Consider the following 23809-nt stretch of genomic DNA (forward strand, 5'->3'; position numbering starts at 1 on the left):
CACATCACTGCCCTGTTCCAGCCCTTTATTAACTTTCCTTGTGATGGTACAAGAAGGGTATGTTCCATTTACTTCCAAAAGGAATTTAGGGTAATTTTAGTAATAATTTATACCCAAGACAAATAAAACAAGAAGGCTGAAAACCAAATGGAATAAAAGAAGAAATGTTTTACCAAGAACCAGAGAGATAAGACAGTTATTGCAACTAGACACTAATTAGGCCCATGCTTCCTGGTGGCCTGGGCAAGAAGGGAAAGACAATGAGTTTCCACAGTCCTTCCTTGCTGATTAAAGGCAGAATAAAAGGCATTCCTCTAGGATGGGGATTTTTTTTCCCTAACAGTAAGTTTTGAGATTTATTGCAGTCACTCATATTAAGGAATAATGAATAGCATAATATGGAATGTCTTCAACAACAGTTTCATATAAAATATAAAATGTTCTTCCTGTAACTTAGCCTGGTATTAACTGCCCTTTACCATTTGTCCCAGTTACTTTTGCAGCCTCTCTTTTCCTATTTTGCCCCATCCCATCCCCACAAAGAACTACACATTCAACCAAACCAGACTCCTCTTTCCAAGAACACATCCCCACCTTTTCGTTACTACCTATTTTTACCCATCCTATCCTCTTTAAATCCTTCCTCTTCTACAGATTTCCCCAATTCTCCAATCAAAAGAGGTCTCATTCTACCACGCAGCCCATGCCTCTGCACTGCCAAGCAAGGCAGAGCACCAACAAGGCAAAGTCATGCAGAAGTGGCAGCAAGATCTTTGGAGTCAGACCAATTGAGCTCAAATCTGATTCAGCTGCTTATATGCTGTGTGATCCTAACCAAATAACTAAATGTCTCTGAGCCTCAGTTTCCACATCTATAGAACAGAAACAGGGCCTGGCACACAGGAGTCCTCAGGAGAACTGGGGGAGCAATAGCTGGCACAATAGAGACTTGGGTATCTGTCTTCTCTCCCCCTCCCCCGTACAAAATGAGCTCCTTGAAAGGCAATACAATGAAGCATCTCCCAGAAGACCTTACACATGAGGGGACCTCAAAAATGGAGTTGCAGAGTTATCTAAAAGCCTGACTGTTTGGAATTAGATCAGAGAGTCTGACATGCAGTAGCTTCATGCCAGATCCAGGTTCAGAACGCAAAGCTCCTATAACTCCTGGGCCAAACTTTACACACGTGACACTGTTAGCCCCTTGAGGGTCTCAACACACTGACTTCCTATTTCACACAATAAAGATCCTCTTCCTTGTCAGAAAATAATTCTTATCATACAGGTCTCCAAATACCCATGCAAATCACATTAATATAACCCGAGGTGGCCACCTTACCCAAAGATCTCATCAAGGGGAGCTGGTGTGTGTTTAATTGTTATGAATGTATATCACTGACCAATGCCTTGATAAACTACAGATAAAATCTATCAGTTCTTGATGGCTAATTTGGTACAACATGAATATTGTGAGTTCTAATAACTCACAGGAGACTATTCTAGTACTTACCAGCTATATGTCTTCCACACTCATAAAACAACCATAATTACCTTTCATGGGTGAGATGTTCTAGTAATTCTTAAGTGACTTAACCCTAGAAAATCTATGGAAAAAGCTAATTTCAAAGAATTTTTGTTTTGAAAGTAGAAGACAAGACCAAGAACTTATGAACATGCTTTTTATTTCATTATTCTTATTATTTTATTTTTATTTTTTGTAGAGACAGAGTCTTGGTACTTTGCCCAGGTTGGTCTCAAACTCCTGGCCTCAAGCAATCCTCCTGCCTTAGCCTTCCAAAGTGCTGGGATTACAGGTATGAGTTACCGTGCCCAGCCCTCTTTTTTAACAAACATGCCAGAAAACATACGTCCCTTTGTTTCCTGGGGATAGATGAATTATGGTAATGTTGTCCCTGGGCAGCAGTGTAAAACTGTTTTACAAACAGTTGAATCTTCTATTTTAGAAGTTCCCCTCAGAAGTAGCATGGCTGTATTGTTGGGGGAAAGCCAGGCCTCTCTGGAGCAGGCATGGGATGTGGTGGGGAATGTACTTTGGAACCAGACAGAACTACATGCAAATCTTACTTTAAAATATTGGGGTAAGGTGTTTCAACTCCTTGGGCCTCAATGTTCTTATCTATAAAATGGAGTTAATACTATTAATAAATATGGAAATGGTTCTCCCATTTTATTGTGCACCCGAATCATCTGTAGAGTTTGTTAAAAATATAGCTACATGAGTCCCATCCCCAAAGATTCAAAGATTCTGTTTCAGTGCATCTGATGTGGGGCCCAGAAATCTGTGGGGATTTAAATTATTTTTCATTTTTAATTGCACAATATGTAAATACATTTCCCCCTTGTAAAATATTAAAACATTACCTTATCAGTTATGATTGCATTCAGCTGCAAGCAATTAAAAAACTAACAGTCGTTTAAACAGATGGGGGTTATTTTTCTCAGGGAACAAGAAGAAATCTAGAAGCAGGCAGTATAGAGCTGGAGTGGATTTATGGAATCCACTCAAGGATTCCATAAAGGACCCAGGAACTTTTTGTCTTCTTCCTCTGCCATCCTTGGCCTGAGGCTTCCCTCCTTTCCATCCTTCCAGCTGCAAGGCACCACTGCTCTACCTGGCAGTCTATAAAGCAGGCAGGAAGAACACGAAAGGGCCAAAGGACTTTGCCATCTTATTTATGAAGAGGTGCTCTCCTCAGGAGCTCCTGCCTCTTGTTCATAGGCCAGAGCTGTGTCATACAGTCACCCCTAGCTGCAAGGGAAACTAAGTAAGAGAATATAGCTGGGCACATAGGCAATCCAAACAAAATCAGACTCCGTCAGAAAAGAAGAAATGAGGAACAGGTATTGGGAGCCTGTGGAACAGTGTCTACTGCAATTACAGATGAGGTTCATATTCCCTTGGGGCCTCTTTCCCTTGACCCCCATCAATCCTGGCCTCATGGGCTTTTCACCAAGCTCCCCAGGAGGTTCTGATGCCCCCTAAGCATCATTTTGAGGGCCACCACCACACTTACAGTACTTATGCAGAGGTCTAGATCTGGCTTTAAAATGTTTAGCCTGGTGGAGCCATAATAGTTGTCTGATGGATATTTACTCTCATCCTCTTTCCTTCCCCTACAAGTCACCCAGAAAACCCACTCGTTTGTTACAACCACAACTCAAGTTTGCCTAAATGGCCTTGCTCAGCATCCAACACTGGGGTGTGAAAAAGTATTGGCTTATTTTTTTAATCAAATCCATCCTTCAAAAGATGATGATCTGCCACCCTAGACAATATTTAAAGAATGTGACTTGGGCCCAAAACATGGCTGAAGCATGAGACCCTGCCTGAGATGACAGTATTATCCCACAAGGTGACTCACTGCCTGGAAAGGCTTGCCCCTAATCCACAGACACATTTAGATACTAGGTTAGGAAAAAAAAATCTGAGTAGGCAAGTGTGCATCACACATTAAGTGGGGGGAAATCAAGACACAAACTAGTATATTTTTTATATTTTATATTAAAAGTATGTACAGTTTTATATTAAAAGTGTATACCTGGCTGGGCATGGTAGCCATTTTCAAAGTGCTCCAATCCCAGCACTTTAGGAGGCCAAGGTGGGAGGACTGCTTAAGCCCAGGAGTTCAAGACCAGCCTGGGCAACATAGTGAGACTTTGTCTCTACAAAAACAGTGTTGAAATTAGCCAGATATGTTGGTGTGCTCCTGTAGTCTCAGCTACTTGGGAGGCTGAGGGAGGGGTATCACTTGAGCCCGGGGATCAAGGCTGCAGTGAGCTATGATGTCATTAAATCCAGCCAGGGAGACAGAGTGAAACCCTGTCTCAAAAATAAAAACCACACAAAAAAACAGTATATACCTAGGCAAAGGAACAAAGCCTGAAAGGCTAGCCCCTGATACGGTAACAATGGCAAACATCTTAGTAGTGAGAGTAATTATGTCTTACTGTGTTTTGTTTTGTTTTGTTTTGTTTAGGGGGATAATTTCTAAAATTTTTCTCCTAAAAATACATATTTATTTTGTAACAAGATTTATGATTTTTAAAAATGTGTCGACCTATACAGCCATCAGAAATAACAATATGCGATATTTCATCTTATCTGGTCTTTGGGTAAAATTAAAAGGCAAATAAGAACGGCATCCAAAGCAAGGGCATGACTGTGTATGCAGGGCACGGTGACAAGGCCACTGCCTACAATGGTAGTGTTTTAACAATCTGAAATCATTCAGATTTAACAGGGGAAAACCTTCAGAATGAAACACAGGCTCCAGGTTCCTGAGATTTCCTAATAGAGAAGCTGCAAAGAGAAATGCGGGTTCATTACTCAGCCACCGTGCTGCACTCAGCTATCCTGCACATAGCAATTAGAGTGGAACTCAGGGCACCATGTGCACTGCATACAAAGCCAGCCACCCTCTGAGAGGAACCAAAATGCACAAGACCCCACAGCATAGAAAGCAGCCAGCTATTAAGAAAAGTTTTTCCAATTGGTACATTCTCGGCAAACCCTTGCCCACAATTTCCTCAGGAAGCCTCTGTGGCTATCAAACAAGCAAACTAATAAATACATTAATAGGCAAGATCTACAAGTTGGATGCTGTTAACTTTGGGGAGGCAGCTGAACTGTGAGTCAGGTCTAGGGAGGTAACTTCATACTGAAGGCTCTATTCTCTATACATCTTTCTACTCTAGCAAATGCTTATAATCTGTTGGCAAATAACAGCCTTAGCTGAGCTTCTTCTGAAACAAAGATGCCCCCAGTTGTTAAGAACTCCTTGATTTAAATTGGGCTTGCTGCATTCTGAACCTCTTCCTCCAAATCTGAATGGCAGAAAAGTGACCTTCTCCACATCCTCTTACTGCTCTTTCTTGTCAGTAGACCTTGAGCTTGCCGAGCTGTGCTTTCCAAGGTCCTGGTAACTGTGCCTGCTCTAGGAGGTAGCTTAGAGGACTGGAGAAAGCAGAGGATGGTGCACCTGGAAGCCCCAATCCTGGTCCCAGGGACCCAGGGCAAGTCACCTCCTCCCTGGGTCTCTATGGGATCCAATGCAAAGCTGAATTATACACCTTATTATACCATCTCTAAAGTCCACCAATGATGCCATCATGCTCCAAGAGCCATTAGGACATAAGGAACGAGGTCACAAGTGATGAAATACAGTTGGCAAATCAACCTAAAAATATTCAACCTCAGCAGGAATTACAGAAATGAAAATTTAAGTGAAATGCACTTCCACCTATCAATTTAGCAAATTCTGAGGAATGACTCACACTGGTGGTGCCTGCCTTGTGCAACAGTCTGAACTGGTCTCCCAGAAGGGAGGTCTTCCCCTCCTATCCTACCCAGTCCATCCTCCACCCAGCAGCTAGTGGCTTTTCTGGAATGCAAATCTCATCATGTCACTGGCCTGCATTTATAGCTCCTTTACGGTTTCCCACTGCTGTTAGGACAAAGTCTACATTCTGTCACTTGGCCTCGCTTGCTCCTGCCCTGTCTTCCTCTGCAGCCCATCTCTCTCCACCCTCCCTTCGGCCTCTGGCCTTAGCTCCCCCAGGCGTGTGCCCTTCAGCAGCTCTGGGTTTTCACACATTCTGTTCTCTCTGCCTGGATATCTAGGACAGTCTCTCCCCACCATCCTATCTGCTTCTACTCTTGTTAACATTTAACACCTTCAGGATGTGGCCTAAAACCCTTCTTCCAGGAAGTTTTCCCCAACCCTGTTCCTCACACTAGTGCCCCTGCCCCAACCTGGGCCAGGTTAGGTGGGGTCTCCATAAAAACTAAGCATATGTAAAGCAATATAAATTTTTTGGAGAATAAGAAACTTAAAAACAAGCATACCCTTTGACATGGTAATTCTATTTAAAGGAATTTATTATATGTAAATAATCTGAAATGCAAAGATATAAGCCCTAAGATGTTTATCACTGCATTAATTATAATAGCAAGGAAAAAAAGAAAAGAAATAATCTAAATGTCCAACATTAGAGGAATGGTAACATGAAATGCAATGTATTCATCCACATAAGGGAATATTATGTAGTCATTTAATAATGATATTTATAAGCTGTTTTTTAATTAAAAATGATTATTCTATATTAAGTGGGAAAAACAGGGCACAAAATTGTACTTACAGCATTATCTCTGTAAAGAAAAATGTTTTAATAATACAGGAAGAAAATACACCAAAATGTTTATAGTAGTAACCTTTGTGTAGTGGGATAATGAAAATTTTTCTCTACTTCTCTACATTTCTTTCTGCTTTCAAATTTTCAGGGGAAAAAGGCTTTTTAACAGTCTAAGTTCAACCTCTTTGATTCTTCCACATTGTTCTAAAGCTGCCTCATACCATGAGGGCTCAGAGTTGAACTGGCCTCTTGTACCCTGCCGTGCTGACCTCCCACGATCTTTCTGCTTAGGGTCTCCTGACCCATAGCATGTTGTGACAAATGCCAGGGGAGCAGAAAGAAGGCTGGAGGCCATCTGTCCCTGCAGCCCCAAAGGATAAAGGAGAGCAATGCCTGGCAAATTGTCCCTACTCCAGTGGTACATATTCCAGAGTTATCTGGCAGGCTATTCAACATGAACCCTTCCTCCCACAGAAGTGATGATCATAAAAGCCTAATGAATTCCCTCCTCCGGTTTTGTAACAAGCATTCTACTGTAATCCTATTCAAGGAACACCGACATTTTTATTTTTATCTTTGATCAGAGTCAACCAATAAGGAAATGGTAGCCTGTGTGCCAATATCCACCCCTGATGAATAACCAGCCATGATCAATGCCTCACACCTGGGTCCCATCAGGCTCGGATTAGGGGACTTTCACAGGTAAGAATGGTGAGGGCCAAAGATCTGTAGCAAATGAAGGCTGTCACATATGAACCAGATGAAACAAAGGTTCTTTCCTGCCTTTTTGTGTCACCAGTGGGGGAGGGCCTTTCCCAGTGATTGAGGACCCCAAGTCATGCAGGCTTTGCGTCACCTGCTGGTATCATGTGCTCTCAGCTCATGAGCAGCTTTCTAAGGCTGACAAACTGCTCAGCAATGACACACAGCCCACATGCTACAGTCTCTTTTCCTGCAGGCTGTAGGAATGAGAAAGTGCAAGGATAAATGACACTAAATAATGCAGAGGTGAACACCACTCATGCAAGAGCATAACAAAGTACATTTGAGAGAGCTGCACAGTGGAGGGGGGCATGTGGAAAGGTTAGCACTCCACACTGGGCTCCAAATCATAGCTCTTAAGCTTAAAGACAGCTCCCGCATTGGTCTCCTTCATGTCTCACCAGTCCACCTGCATCTGACACTGCCTAATAGAGAACCACACTCCATTCCTGCCACTCACAGAAAGGTCTCCACTGATGTCCACACAAAGGCTTGACTGGGATTTTGCCATACGGTGGCTCTGCTTTGGAGGGCTCTCTCCAGAACACAATGCCACCAAGAGCAGAGACCTCCCTCTGTGTTACTCCCTCTCACCCAGCGTGGTGCAATGGGAAGAGGAGAGGACCCAGGACTACAGGTAGAAATGAGAGGGAGGCAGTTAGATCCAATTAAGCAAGTCATTTTCATTTAACTGGAGAAGAGACCAACGTGGGATGTGCTGCCTATGAGATAATGAGTTTTCCATTACTGGAGGTATACAAGTCTGGGCGGGTAGCCACCTGGCAGGACGTTCTAGAAGGGGTGCCTGCTGTGCCTAAGACCTTGCCCTCAGCAACCCAGAGAGCTCCTTCTACCTCTTAGACCCTTGGTGCCTTTGATTTCACTGCAGTGGCCTGAAGCTGCCTTCTTCACTGGTAACATAAGGCTGACAACAGTCCCGCTCTGACTAGGATGTTCTATATAATAAATGACTACCAGGAGAGGCACTGGGGAGGAATACAGGAGCCACTCAATCCTCCACTAGAGAATGGAGTGACGACGTGCTCTGGAAAAAGCCAATGAGACTCAAGATAGGCATGAGGTTACAAATCTCTCCAGATTCCACTTCTACCCACATACTCATAAATGCACAGGGACGCAACCCAGCAGGCAGATAGTCACAAACCAATACTACCTAACCTTTACTGACTTATAATATCCTACATGCCTTAACTCATTACTTTATTTAATCCTCACCATGAGGCAAAGGTTGAAAGGGTTTTTTTTTTTTTTTAATATTTTGTAAAGAGGTCTTGCTAAAGTGACCGCCCCACCTTGGCCTCCTAAAGTACTGGGATTATAAGCATTAGCCACCACACCCGGTCTAGGTCGAAACTTATAATTCTCACTTTCTATACACTGGGGTGGGGCCGCCCAGAGAAGCTAAATGACTTGCCCAGACACACACACAGCAAGCAGTGGCACCTGGACTAGAATTCCATTCTGTCTGACCTCTGAACCCAAGTGTTTCACCAATAAGTTATAATGCAGCTACTCAGTAATGGGATGAAAAGGATAAAATGAAGAACCTTGATATACAGACAGCCTCTAAGTAATTTGTTTCTACCCATTACTGAAGTATCTTCCATCTGAATTAAACCTTTGCAAAGAGAGGCCAGCCCTCTCTAGTGTGACTTTCTCTCCCTAACAGTGCCTAACTTTTGGTGTTGAGACGAATACCAGGCAAAAAGTTGGCAGCTGGCTTTTAGAGTTGAAAAGAACCTTAACTTTCATCTGATGGGAGGCCTCCCAGATGGGCTGTGCCCAGCCACTGCCCACAGTCACCTCACTGTACTTGTGATAGACCTTAGCAGATTCTATTCAGTCTTAAAAAATATATGACATTATGAGACAACTAAAAATTTTGAACACTAGTTGGATACATGATAGGAAATTACATTTTAAAAGTACAATCACAGTATTGTGATTGTTTCTAAAATGAGTCATTTTCTTTTAGAGATACATATTGAAATATATGCTGAAATAATATGATTTGGGGGACTTACTTCAAAATAATATGGGCAGGGTATGCATATTGACAAAATCTAATAGGTCATGAGTTGATAATTGTTGAAGTTCTATAAAGGGTTTGTAGAAGTTCATTATACTATTCTACTTTTGCATGTTTAAAATTTTCTATAACACAAAGTTTAAAAAGTAAATTTGAAGATAAAATTGACACATTCAATATTCTTAGAGAAAAGTTAAACATAGGGCAGAGATTATAAATGTAATGAAAGTATAAGTAAGGGAAAGATTCAAACTCAATAAACACATTTGTTGAGTCCCCATTATGTAGGAGGCTCTGTAGTAGCCTCTACTTCCTCATCTATAAAATGGAAGTGTTAAGAATTCTGCTTTGGGCCAGGTGTGGTGGCTCATGCCTGTAAATCCTAGCACTCTGGGAGGCCAAGTCGGGAGGATCACTTGAGGTCAGGAGTTCAAGACCAGCCTGGCCAACATGGTGAAACCTCATCTCTACTAAAAATACAAAAACTAGCCAGGTGTGGTGGCGGGTGCCTGTAATCCCAGCTGCCTGAGAGGCTGAAGCATGAGAATCACTTGAACCCAGGAGGCGGAGGTCGCAGTGAGCTGAGATCACGCCTCTGCATTCCAGGCTGGGCGACAGAGCAAGACTCTATCTCAAAAAAAAAAAAAAAAAAAAAAAAAAGGAAGAAGAGTTCTGCTGCATAGGGTTGTTACTCAGATGAGATGAGCTTATACGGGTCAAGCACTGATAAGAGTGGCTGGCATATAGCAAGAGTAATCAATAATTGGTAGCTTTATACAACCCTATGCAATAAATACTATTAGAATCATTTTACAGATGAGGAAGATGAGGCTCAGAAAAGTATGATAACTTGTCCAAAAAGTCATGCTGCCAATATGAGGGAGAATTTGAATTTCAGAGTCAGCACTGCCCCCACCCAGCTCAGGGATGGACTCTGGCATGCCATAGCCAGGAGAGAGTCCTGTGGGTGCAGAGCATGGAGAAGTCAGGCTTTCAGGGAAGAAATGAGCTGTGACTCCTGAACAAAGAGCAGGAATAAGGTAAGCCTGAAAGAATGAAGGAAGAAAAGCACTCAAGACCCTCAGCAATGCCATTCCGATGAAGTTCAAGGCAAATTCTTTTCCTAATTAAAGGCTGGTCTCCACAGCTGTCATTGGGGTGACCTCGCTAATTCAAATAAATAGCCACAGGGTTTCAAAGGGAACAGTTTTAACTCTGCTTTCCATAATAAGGATTCTGGATTACAGCCCAAAGCTTTAGCTAGTTAAGTGTGTGGGTCAGTCTCATAAATTGTTTTCTTGGCTGGATCCCAAGAAAGCCAGACTGTCATTCGAGCAATGAGGTGATTGGTTTTGCATTCCTACCCAAAAAGGAGGCTTCTCTATGATGCTTGCAAATCATACTTGTAAGATTTGTACCATTGGGATTCTCAATCTTCTGCTAAAATCTGTTCTAGTGTTTTCTTAGGGGAAACTACACTTCTGAAGATGGCTGTCCAGAGATAGCACCCCAGAACAGAGCTACTGGAGACCATTTCTCCAGTGAACAGGTGGAAGGGTCATCTCAGTAAGAAAGGCTTCTACGTTTGCTAACTGCCCCTTCTCTGAGAACTTTGGGGAGGGGCTACTGGCCCCCTGAAGTTCCTGTTCCAACTCGAAATTCTTTTCCTTACATGATGGTTGGGGCACTACTGCTGAGCAATTCCAGAGGGCTTTGCAGGAAGTGGGCTTTCCAGAGGGAAGTGCAGGAAGAGGACTGGTCGCAGTCCAAGGATGGCACTTGTGTCCTGGCTCTGCCCTCGGATGACTATGGACGACTCCCTTATATGCTTGGCTTCCTTGTTTAAAATCTTGGTTTTAAACAAGTTTAAACTTCATGGCAGCAGGAAAACAAAACATATGTGAAAAAGCTAGACAAAAAGCTGAGAATCATCATTACGCTGACTCCCATTAAGCCAGAACTAGATCAGATCTTTTAGAATAGGGATTCCAAGCCACGAGGAGATATCCACGGGCAGTCTAAGTCTTCCCTGTGGGTCCCTCACCTGCCCGTCCCTAAAGGCAGAGTGGAACAATGGAACCAGCCAGGCAGTGAGTTGGTCAGGCCTGGGTTTGATTTCTGGCTCTGCCACATTTATTATCTTCCAATGATCCATTCTTAGCAATTTTACAGTGGAAATGGATACATAAGCCCTGTCCATGCCTCACTAACTCGGCTGACTGAAAAACAAAAATCCACAGATAACCTATGAACCTCATTTTGCCTTAAAGAGTTTCAGCCTCTAAGCCAGGCGCAGTGGCATGCACCTATAGTCCCTGCTACTAGGGAGGGAAGGTGGAAGGATCCCTTGAGGCCAGAAGGTCAAGTCCAACCTGGACAACACAGCAAGACCTCATCTCTAAAATACAAAAGTCTCAGCCACTTTCCCACAAAAACGTAGCACAAAAGAGCTGATGTGCATGAACTTTTTATTTGAATGTTCTGTTCTCTCTACTTCTCTCCATTACAGGGGCTTATGAGAACTAACAGCTCCTAAAACGAGAGGCAGAAAGAAGGCAGAAGATATGGACAAAGGAGTCTAAGGAAAATTTGTAATCCAGTTCACCAGCTTATAAAAAACCAGCACTAGCTGAAAACAGCAGACAAAAGTAAGGACCAGACGACCCTGATCTGCCTGACCCAAGATCAGCATGTTCTTTTTCACAAGGCCACATTGCAAGGTTCCATTAATAAATAGCAGTAATAAGGATGGGGGCCTTGGGGTCAGGCAGACCTGGGCTCAAACTCCTGGCTCTGTAATGTATTAGCCCCAAGATCTCAGGCAAGTTCATTAATCCTGGCTTTAACCCTCAATCATATCATATGTAAAATGGGGATTAAAAACTATATACTTCGCAGGATTACTATACTAACCAGAAAATCATATCAATTTAAAGGACATTTATAATACTAGTTACTAAGTATTAAGATCTTATTATGGGCCGATATGTATGGGCCGATATGTACACCTTCCCTTTTAAATCTCAAAACAACCCTATGAGGGAGGTATTATGTCCCCCATTTTAAAAAATGAGGCTACTTAGTAGGCTCAGAGTAAGTAATTTGCCCCAAAAGATACAGTGTTGGGATGAGAATGTGACTTGGGTTTGTCTGCTCCAAAGACTGTTCTTATTGTCATTACAATGGTACTATAAGCAGTCACATCAGCACGGTAGTTAGTATAGAAAAGGAAGCAGTCAGAATTCCAGGAAAGGCTTTTGCCAGCTTTAGTCGCGACAGCCCTGGGATGGGCCATCACCATTCCATTTTACAGATGAGAACTTGGGGCTCAGAGACATGAAGACTGTTAGAAGTAAACAAAAAGCTGTTTATCTTTTAGAGCCCTTTATCTATTTCAGTATTTATAAAGTAATTATTATAAAGTAATATGATGCCTGGAATCTGCTTCAAAATAATGCAGAGTGGGAGGGGAGGATGATTAGATGAAACAAGATTGGATTGGCCAGATGCTTAGAAGCTGAGTCATGGGTACACAGAGGTTCATTACACTGTTCTCCCAATTCATATCTATGCTTGAAATTTTCTATGATAAGAAAAAGCAAAAATAAAAAAATACTTCATCTCCTGGAGAAAGCATAAGGCAGAAGCAGGTCTCAAACTGGGGTATGTTCTGTCCCCAAATTCTGAGTCCTCTCCAATCCACTGTAACAGTCACTTTAAAAAACCCTTTCTTCTTTCCATCTTGATATGGGTCCAAAGTGCTGCTAATTAGAGCTAGGGAGTTAGGAAGGCAAAGCAGTCTCTATAGGGGTCAGATAGTGGCAGACCAGCCTGCTGCTGGGGTGCGACAGAGGGCTGAATCCTGCTGCCTGGAGAGTGCAGAAAAGGCCTCAGCAAGGTAACAACACTTGGGTATGGAGAGAATGTGGATGATCCAAAAGAGAATGTAGGAATGTGAAGGCAAAGGAGAGAAGGAGCAGCCAGTGCAAATGCATGGAAAGGGGAGCCCGAAGGCTGAGCTGCCTCCAGATCTCTCTTGGGGATTGCTGCTGCAGCCTCCTCATTGTTATCACTTCCTCCACTCTCTCTTTCCATAGTCTACACTCCACACTGCCCCAGGTGGTCTGCACCAAACAGAAAATCTGATCTCATCTTCCCCCTAAGTATTAAAAACCTCCCAGATCTCCCCACTTCACTTCAGATAAGGTCTACACTCCTCAACCTGATCCTCAGGGTGACTATCTCTAACCAGCCCTGACTTCCACTTCCTACCCCTTGCCAGGGCCCCACGTGAACATCCAGAGCCCAAGGTCTAGCTGCCACAAACATACAGGCCCCTTTTCTCCAATGTTCTCTCTTCCTTGCACATCCCTCCCCCTCCAGGTAAACTCCTACCAGAGAGCAGCTCAGATGTCACCTCCTTTGTGAAGGCAGTCCTTACTCTGCCCCTCTCAGTGCATGCTGCTACATTATCAGAGCACCCCCACACTGCACTTGAGGGTCTTCCTCTGGATGAGAAGGTGGGCTCTAGGGCAGGGAGAGGCAGCAGACAAGGTGATCAATACAAGGTGCTTATTAACACTACTAGCGACATAAATAATGCAGCCCCCGGATAGGCAGGCAGGGGTTGTGCAAGCCATCATGGTGCCTGGCACAAAGTGGCTGCCGTGAGAGGCTGCCTGGTGAGTGGACAGGTGAGGACGGCAGGATGCTGAGCAAAGGGATGCTGAGCAGAGGGCTCCTTCCTGACCTTGGCTGAGGCAGCCTTGCTGCGGTGCCCTTCATGAGTCTGTAAGCTCACGGCTGCAGGAGGCTAATTCAGTGCCTAAAAATGCTGTAACAGTTTCTTTGAAAGGTTCCAGACAAATGGAAAATGACACCGACAGCTTGACGCTCCCTTCACCTCCATGGCTGCAAACCTAAAGAATATTTATGATCCGTGGGATCAGAGATTTGGTGTCTTAGAAGCAAAGAAAGGTCACAAGACAAACTAACGCAGACCATCTGCTCTTGGGTGGGGAAAGAGATTCCCATATTTGGAGTTATTCTCCCCAAAGCACCAGGCACCTGCTTCTCTTGTGAAAATCTATGAGCTAACACAATGATTTTTATTTAACATAGTATAAAACCAACGTCTCCTACAAGGAGAGGTGAAAAGCTGAACACAAACATGCCGACTAACAGGGAGCTATGGAAGCCTTCCGGCGGGGAAACAGGAGGTCCGCACTTGTGCTCTCCATATTAAATGCTTAGCGACAAGGCCTAACAGAGGAGAACAAATGCTCCCAGAGATGTCTGCCTGATGGCAATGGAGAAAAACTCATCTGGGGCTAGTACTAGTGGAGCTCCCCTCCTCCTCCATTTTTCATAGGCCGGATGCTCCTGCAATTCCCAACACCGTACTCCTGACATTGCAGCAGATGCTGCCCGCACTGCCGCCGCCACACTAATCCTTCATCCTCCGGGGCCAATGGAAATGTAGGATTTCCCATTAATCAGGGCCGTGGACACCAAAATAGCTCATCTGACCTTTGCAAATACCAAAGGGTGGATTTAAAGCAGAAACTGGCAAAAGGTAATGCAAAAGTCTTTAGCTTTCTTTTCAGAGATGATTTTATGCAGTCATTAGCTAAGAAACAGATTGCCAGTAGGACCAACAAGGTTAAAAATTAGGTGGAAAGAGCCAAATGTTTCACCACACACACACATACACACACACACACACACACACACTCTCTCTCTCTCTCTCTCTCATTCCTTGATGAATTATTTAACTTACATTAAAAATATATATATGGCTCAGAAATCTCTTGGCATTGGCACTGGATTGAAAACAGTGTCAAACTGGGAAGTAGCTGTTCTCTGAGAGAACACTTATACATCAAAACAAACATGGATTTCAATGTGCAATACCAGGTGGACTTCATCAGACAATACAGACCACAGATCTGCTATTGATGAAAAGATAGACCCTCTCTTAGGGAGACCCACATTACATAGGATGAAACTTCATTAAACTTCCTTATCACATACATACCCATCTTCTCTCTATTTACAGCCTATACATCTTAGTTAATCATTGATATTTTGTGAGCAAAAGTGACCTTAATATTTCACGGAGACTTTCTCTGCATAGCTATAATTCAGCACCACATAAAACTGGATCTTAAGTATCTTAATGAAATGTAGGACTCTTTCCATTTAAAAAAAGAGAAAAAGTAATTATAGAAAACTGGAAGAAAAAAGAAGAAAAGCTAGTCACATAAGTCTGCCACCACCCTAATTCAATCTTTTTTCTTTTTTTATTTTTTAAAAAAGATGTCTATTTTTGAGACAAGGTCTCAGTGTCACCCAGGCTGGAGTGCAGTGGCACAATCATGGCTCACTGCAGTCTCAACCTCCCGGGCTCAGGTGATCCTCCCACCTCAGCCTCATGAGTAGCTGGGACTACTGGGGTGCACCATCACGCCTGCCTGGCTAAATTTTTCATATTTTTTGGTAAGACGGGGTTTCATCATGTTGGAGACCAGGCTGGTCTCCAACCCCTGGGCTCCAGCAATCTGCCTGCCTCAGCCTCCGAAAGTGCTGGGATTATAGGAATAAACCACCGCACCCTGCCGTAATTCAATTTTGTATAAGAGCTTTATTGAGATATAATTTACATACCATGAAATCTACCCTCTTGAAGTGTACAATTCAGTGGCATTAGTACATATATTCACAGAGTTGTGCAACCATCACCACTATGTAACTCTAGAATATATTCATCATCCTAAAAATAAATCCTGTACCTGTTAGCAGTCACTTCCCATTCCCCCTCTCCCAGCCTCCTACAACCACTAATCTGCCTTTTCTCTATATAGATGTGTCTATTCTGAACATTTCTTATAAATGCAATCATACAATATATAGCTGTTTGTGTCTGGCTTCTTTCATGAAACATAATATTTTTACCCAATTCTATTTTTTATTAGCACTTTGTTAGGTTTCTTTCCCATCTCGATTCTGATATATTTAAAACTTAATCCTTTGCTAACATTATAAAGTTAAGTCTGTTTTTTGCTAAACCACAAGTTACTGACCCTAAGCTAGGCTCATGGGTGCAGAGGCTGCAGGAGGCCTGTTTTGCTCTCTAAACATCAGCTCATTATATTGGTCTAAGTATTGATCTAATTTTTTTTTTTAAGACAGAGTCTCACTCTATCGCCCAGGCTGGAGCGCAATGGCACAATCTTGGCTCACTGCAACCTCTGCCTCCTGGGTTCAAGCCATTCTCCTGCCTCAGCCTCCCAAGCAGCTGGGACTACAGGGATGTGCCACCACGCCTGGCTAATTTTTGTATTTTTAGTAGAAATGGAGTTTTACCACGTTGGCCAGGCTGGTCTCGAGCTCCTGACCTCAAGTGATCAGCCCTCCTCAGCCTCCCAAAGTGCTGGGATTACAGGCGTACGCCACCGTGCCAGCCTAAGTGTTGATCTAATTTTAACAGAAGTGCCTCAGGGTTAGGAAAGTACTAACTAGTTATACCAGCCCTCAGGACAATCCCACACAGTAAATACAATCTTCAGCAAGGAACAGGAAAGAACACTAGAACTGGGATTTAAATAGGAAGAGCTACTACCATCCAGTGAGCTTTTCAGTTTTATACGGTGGGGGGGTCTCACTATATTGCCCATGCTGGTCTTGAACTCCTGGGCTCAAGTGATCCTGCTGCCTCAGCCTCCCAAAGTGCTGGGATTATAGACATGAGCCACCGTGCCCAGGCCAGTGAGCTTTCTGTTTTGCAAATATTGTAGGCTAAATTGTGCCATCCTCAAGTTCTCATGTTGAAGCCCTAAGCACCAGTACCTCACAATATGACTGATTGAATTTGGAGACAGGGTCTTTAAAGAAGTGATTAAGTTAAAATGGGGCCCTAATCCAATCATGCATGCACAGAGGAATGACCATGTGAGGACACAGCAAGACAGTAGCTGTTGGCAAGCCACGGAAAGAGGCTTCTGAAGAAGCCAAACCTGCAGCTTGATCTTGGATTTTCAGCCTCCAGAACTATGAGAAAATAAGTTCGGTTAAGCCTTCCAGTCTGTGGTATTTTGTTATGGTAGCCCTAGCAAACGTCTCATTTAATGCCCCGACACATACTTTTAAAAATAGGACTTCTATCCTCATTTTACAGATGAGGAAGCTCAGGCTCAAAGAGGTTACTGGAGCTGGGACTCAAAGTGAAGTCTGATTTTGAAGATTTTGTTCTTTCCAGAAAGTACAACAAGTTGTATTCATTTTTAATTTCTTTTGGTAGCATGAGGGGTCACACTGTTAAAATAAAGAAAAATCTTTGTTCTATTTTTTTTTAAATATATACTCTTTCCAGAATATACCTGGTTACAGTCCAAATTCAGAATCCACTCATTTCAGAAATACTTTTGATGGAGGAAAAGAAAATTAATGAGTCAAGTGCTTTACATGCATTATCCAATTTGAACATTAAACAATTCTAAGAGATATATATTAGTCATAATTGAGGAAACTAAGGCTCAGAGACATTAAATGACTGTATCATGATACAATGTTTGTCTTTCATTAAGTTCCTTAGTCAAATAGTTTCATTTTGAAAGACCAAGTGTACTAAATTCTGTTTATCAACCTTTCACTGAGACTTGCTGTACTGGATAATCTTGATACCAAGATAAATACGCCCTAGTCCCTACCTTGGAGAGAGTGTCAAGTACAGCTGGGGAGGGCAATAGCCCCCCAGAGCTGCTGCTAGCCCATATGGAGCTTCTGTGCAATCAAAAAATGTGCCCCCTTGGCCAGGTGTGGTGGCTCACACCTGTAATCACAGCACTTTGGGAGGCCAAGGCAGGCAGATCACTTGAGGTCAGGTTTGAGACCAGCTTGGCCAACATGGTGAAACCCCGTCTCTACTAAAAATACAAAACAAAAATCAGCCAGGTATGGTGGTGCACGTCTGTAATCCCAGCTACTCGGGAGGCTAAGGCAGGAGAATGACTTGAACCCGGGAGGTGGAGGTTGCAGTGAGCTGGGACCATGCCACTGAACTCCAGCCTGGGTGACAGAGTGAGACTTCACCTCAAAAAAAAAAGGTGGCCCTTTCTTAGAGTGAAAGCAGCCCCAGAGCACAGCCTTGCTGAGCAGCCCTGTGGCTCTGCCTTCAGTTCACACCCCCTCTTGCTAAGAGTGAGATCAGCGGAGTGCCCAGAGCAAGGCAGGGGTCCTAGGAAGGGCTTGCTTCCCCCTATCAACCCCACACTCTCCACACCCAGCCTCCCTCCTATTGCCTGATGGATCAAAGACCCCCATGATCTGTGCTGACCCTGTGAGGGGTGGGGGGAAAGAGTTGGAGTACAGAGCCAGGGCTGCTCAGAGTAAGTATTGGGCAAAGCCAAAAAGTTAAGAGTGCCAAGCAGGGGTCAAAATGCCAGAAGGGGCCACATACAGAGTGACTGTCCCATAGACCAGAGAATGGGGAGCTGGAGCCATGAGGTGAAAGCAGGTCAGGGACACCTTAATTGAGTGTTCTCAGGGACCCTCCATGTGGGTTTCATGCCATGCGTTTCTCACACAGGAGCCTTTTACCCCAAATATATTTATTCTTGCCACCTGCCATTAAGGGTCTCCACCTTCATCTTTTCCCAGTGCTAGGTGATGTTCTCCAATGGGGAACAGCAGTGTGGAACTCGTGCCAGGAAAACCCAGCTCACCATCCACGACATTACTGAACATCTAGCACGGCAGAGCATAGAGCATAGGGCCCAGTGCAGACAATGCCACATCACAAGGCTTCATCTCTGACAAGAGCCTGTCTCAGCCCCCAAGGAGGCCCAACTGGGTCAGGAGAATAAATGTTACAAAGTGCCCCTTCCAGCAGCTAGAGTCTTACAGGATAAATACCACCCCACTCCGATGCTACAATCTGACCTGTGCCAGGGTGGGTATATGAAAAAAGTTAACAGGGAGTCATCAGGGCACCTGGGGTGAAGACAGTGGCTCTCTGGTCAGAGGACATATCTCAGTAAGTGTGGCATCCAAGCCTCACCTTGCAGGAGCAGAATCTCCCACATAAGCGAGAAGCAGATGAGACAGCCATCCTGGGGAAGGAAGGACAGAAGCAACGGCCAGAAGGCTGGTGGTGTGTCCCGAAAAGGTGCACAGTCCAGTGGCCAGAAGGCAGAAGAGCACTCCTCAGAGAGTGGCCTGCAGATCACCAGTGGGCAAGTTTAGGTGGGCCAGGGCAATGTTATAACACTGAATCTGTTCTCTCTCTCTATTTTTTATTTTTATTTTTTAAATTTTATTTATTTATTTTTTTGAGACAGAGTCTTGCTCTGTCACCCAGGCTAGAGTGCAGTGGCACAATCTCAACTCACTGCAAGCTCCGCCTCCCGGGTTCACACCATTCTCCCGCCTCAGCCTCCCGAGTAGCTGGGACTACAGGCGCCCACCACCATGCCTGGCTAATTTTTTTTTGTATTTTAGTAGAGATGGGGTTTCACCATGTTTCTCGATCTCCTGACCTCGTGATCTGCCCGCCTCGGCCTCCCAAAGTGCTGGGATTACAGGTGTGAGTCACCACACCAGGCCTATTTTTATTTTTTGAGATGGCGTATCACTCTGTCGCCCAGGCTGGAGTGCAGTGGTGCGCTCTTGGCTCACTGCAACCTCCACCTCCTGGGCTCAAACAATTCTTGTGCCTCAGTCTTCCGAGTAGCTGGGATTACTGGAATGCACCACTATACCCGGCTCCTTTTTTTGAATTTTTAGTAGAGACAGGGTTTTACCAAGTTGGCCGCGCTTGTCTCGAACTCCTGACCTAAAGTGATCTGCCTGCCTTAGCCTCCCAAAATGCTGGTATTACAGGCGTGAGTCACTATGCCTAGCCTCTCTTTTTTTTTTTTTTAGAGACAGGGTCATGCTATCTTACCAAGGCCGGCCTCAAGCTCCTGGGCTTAAGTGGCATGGCACTGCACCTGGTCGCTGTTCCAATACTTTGTATGCTCCCATTCTAATGAGAGTGAGTCTTGGCGGGGAGCCTTAGGCAGACAACAGGATCCTGCTAGAAGAATCTTGCTTTGATTTCAATGTATTTATTTATTTTAATTTTTATGTTACTTTAGATTAATGCCAAGTGAAACTACTTTTCAATTGAGAGTGATAGAAGCCTTTTAAAAGAAAATGTGCCCAAGTAAAAAAAGTTAGTCAATACACAGAAAATCTGTGACAGCATAGGTGGCTCATAGATAAGGGAAAACCATGAAGGTAGTCCCCAGGAGAATGGAAACTGCAAGATCTGGGAAAACCTAGGCCAGAGCCTTGGTGCAGAGGGAAAAGAAAGATCAGACACTGCAGTTTCTTCTTTCTGGTGGCCTATGGGCAGGGAGGACCTACCAGGAAGGGGGTGCTGTTTCATCTTCCCCACTAGGGGGAAGATCCCTGGCAGGATGTCTCCAGGGATCTACCTGGAGCCAACCTAACAAGCCAGGTAAGGGCTTTAGTGTGGGGCAGACCTGTTCAAGTTTTGGTTCTGCTACCTACTCCCTGAGAGGCTTCTGGGATGTCAATCAGCCTCATCCATAAATCCTAGATGATAATACCCACTCCCTTGCGGGGCTGCAAGGAAAATGACCAGCACCCAGTAGACGGCAGTTCCCTCGCCCACCCAGCCCTTTCCTAACTCTGGCAGGGACCAGATCTGAGATCCAGTCTCTGAGAACGTTCATAAGATTTAGAGGAAACAGAATCATACTTCTCTGTTCTGACTAGAATTAAAGAATATACAAAATGCCTGATCTCACTTTGTCTTACTGGGTTAGAGATGAAAAGGAGGAACATTTAGTACTTGGGTAGACACTGTAGATTCTCAAGCCTCATGTGTCACCAGTAAAATGCAGGGAATTTGAGTTTGTGCATAAAAAGTTGCTGCCCTGGAGTGGCAACAGAAAAATTTGGTTTCCTCAGGAGTAGCAGACAGGTAAGGCAAATAAATAAAAACCATATGAAAATTAACTGAAGAATGGTGACCAAAGGGTTTTTAGCAAAAAACCTTTCAAGAAACGTAAAGGTCTTGCATAGCCTTTTTACAGGGCAAGGGGAGGCCAAGGATGCAGGAGGAACGAGTCTGGGCAGCTCCACCAGCAGGCATTCTCTACCTCTGCATTTCCATGGGGACGTGGTGCTTAGGAAGGAAGTTAGCCGAAGGCAACTTTCATCCACACATCTTAGAGGTGGTTTTCCATTAGACAATGTGGACCAACAACCAAATGCCTTTTCCCCTCCTCAGATGTGTAGAAATTAAAAGATGCCCAGTACTGATGAGAGTGCAAGGCAAACAGTCACTCGGGCTCTGTTGGTGAGGGGCTCATTTAGAGGGCAATTTGGCAGTCTCCATCAAAATTTCCAATACTCTTATAGTCTGACATGAGCATTTTGTCCCTAGGAATCTAAACTACACAAATATAGAAATGCACAAAGATATGCTGTTCCAGTATTACTTATAAGGACAAGAAAGCCACTGCCCACCAGGAGGAGGATGGCTATATAAACTGTACATCCATTCTGTGGAATGCTTGCACAATGAGATAGATCTAATTATGTTGCCATGGAAAGGTCTCCAAAATGTACAATGACATGGCAAAACAAAAGCGAGCTGTAAAATGAAGCCTACAGTAGGATCCCATTTATACAAAAGAAACTTCATGGAACATGCGCCACACACTAAGCAGCTGATTACCTCTGGGGAGCCTAGTTGGGCTGAGAAATTAAGGGCTCACTCTTTATACAGTAAGTGCTTCTTTATTTTCTTTTTTTTTTTTTTTTTTTTTTTTTTTTTTTTTGAGACAGGATTTCACTCTGTTCCCAGGCTGGAGTGCAGTGGTGTGATCTTACCTCACTGCAGCCTCGACCTTCCCAGGCTCAAGCAATCCTCCTGCCTCAGCCTCCTGAGGAGCTGGGACCACAGGTGCGTGCTGCCACGCCTGGCTAAGTTTTTAAATATTCTTTGTAGCAACAAGGTCTTACTGTGTTGCCTAGGCTGGTCTCAAACTCCTGGGCTCAGGAGATCCTCCAGCCTCAGCCTCCCAAAGTGCTGGGATTACAGGTGTGAGCCACCACACCCAGCCTATATTTTATAATTTTTAAAAACAAAAATGGGTCTCTGTGTCAGTCCCATTCACTGAAGGGCAAACAAACAGCTTTAGGATGCCCAGTATGCACAAAAGACCAAAGAGAAGGCAGCCTCTGGGGTAGAGGAACACTGGAGTAAGAAGCAACATGGAATGCTGGTCCTGCTGCAGGAAGGCCCCTTAGCCACCTGAGGCACACTTCCTCCTCCGCTGCCCTGACAGAACAGGAAGGTTGAAAAGGTGTATACACATTCTCAAAAGCAGCCTGCCCACCACAATAGGGCTGCAATGGGGCTTCTGGGACGCCATGCCCAACAGACTGGTCCCCACCCCTTCATTTGGGAGGCTGAGGTGGGCAGATCACTTGAGGCCAGGAGTTTGAGACCGCCTGGCCAACATGGCGAAACCCCATCTCTACAAAAAAAATACAAAAATTAGCCAGGCGTGGTGGTCACACCTGTAATCCCAGCTACTTAGGAGGCTGAGGCAGGAGAACTGCTTGAACTGGGGAGGCAGAGGTTGCAGTGAGCCGAAATCTTGTCACTGCACTCCAGCCTGGGCAACAGAGCGAGACTCTGTCTCAAAAAAATATAAATAAATAAAGGTAAATGTTATGTTATGTGTATTTTACCACCATAAAAACAAAAGACTGCAGAGAGTCATTCTGGTCCTTGAGCATGAATTAATCAGGAAGCAGCAGTTTGGTTGCTGCAGTATTCCTGTAAGGTGCTAGAGACAAGCAGGAGTGCCCCGGATCACTTTCCCCACCTCAGGAGGACAGAGAACCACTGTCCCTGCAAAAGGCGTCACCAACTGTTTAAGAGGCAGATCCCAAATAGGGACCACCATGGGGGCAGAGCCTTAAGCATCACCTGGCCCCTAACCCAGGAGGAAACCTGTGCCCCACAGCATGCACATGGATGGGGTGTAGAAACAGCCCACAGCTGACCTCACTGACCTGCCCCCACCAGCCCAACACACATGAAGACACATGAGTGGGGGGAGCACATAGGGTGTGTAGTGGGCCTCACTGGGTTTCAATCCTGTTGGTTGTGTGATTCTGAGAAAGTCACAACACAGGTAAAAATGCCATCTCACAAAGTCAAGAGGGTTAAATGAGATAAAATCTTGAAAGAACACAGCACAGTCCCCTGCACAAGCAGGTGCTCTATGCATGTTCATTGCCTTGCCTCTTCTTCCAAGTCACACAAGGATGCCTTCCCTTGTACCCTGTACAGTTAGCCACTCTCAGGACAGGCATAGGACAGGGCAAGCATTGTTCATCTTTGAATTCAAAATCCCACCGGCTCAACATAGTGCATTCAAATAGTCAGATAATTATTAAATACATATAAGTTATAAGTGCCACTGCAGTTCAGAGGCTTCTGGGCCAGCTTTGTGGCAGTGGGAAGATCTAGGTTAGGTTTCAAAGGGTATATTGGTCTAAACCATGAGCAAGAGAGAAGGGATGCTTTGCAGGGCCAAAGGCCATGCTGAGCACAGAAAAGGAGGGAGTGGGAACGGCAAAGTAAGTAGAGACCTTGGTAAGAGAAAAGACGGGAAGAAGCCCAGTCAGTGAAGGCCTTGAACACCAGGCTACATTTATAAATCATTCTTTTTTTTTTTTTTTTTGTGATGGAGCTTCGCTTTTGACACCCAGGCTAGAGTGCAATGGTGCAATCTTGGCTCACTGCAACCTCAGCCT

At 44.3% G+C, this 23809-nt stretch overlaps 1 protein-coding gene across 17 annotated transcripts in view, besides 1 other annotated feature; it reads right to left on the reverse strand.

The window, feature by feature from the left end:
• The window catches only part of TOM1L2 (target of myb1 like 2 membrane trafficking protein), a 128890-nt gene that overhangs the window by 87083 nt on the left and 17998 nt on the right, over positions 1–23809 (reverse strand). The window lies entirely within an intron of this gene.
• Positions 8337–8426: an enhancer, noted in NCBI's record as "active region_11818". NCBI's record gives its function as "activates an Ori minimal core promoter by ATAC-STARR-seq in GM12878 lymphoblastoid cells {active_cell/tissue: GM12878}" and the evidence as "EXISTENCE:reporter gene assay evidence [ECO:0000049][PMID:35858748]".

This window comes from Homo sapiens, chromosome 17 (genome assembly GCF_000001405.40).
Source record: "Homo sapiens chromosome 17, GRCh38.p14 Primary Assembly".
Lineage (NCBI taxonomy): Eukaryota > Metazoa > Chordata > Mammalia > Primates > Hominidae > Homo > Homo sapiens.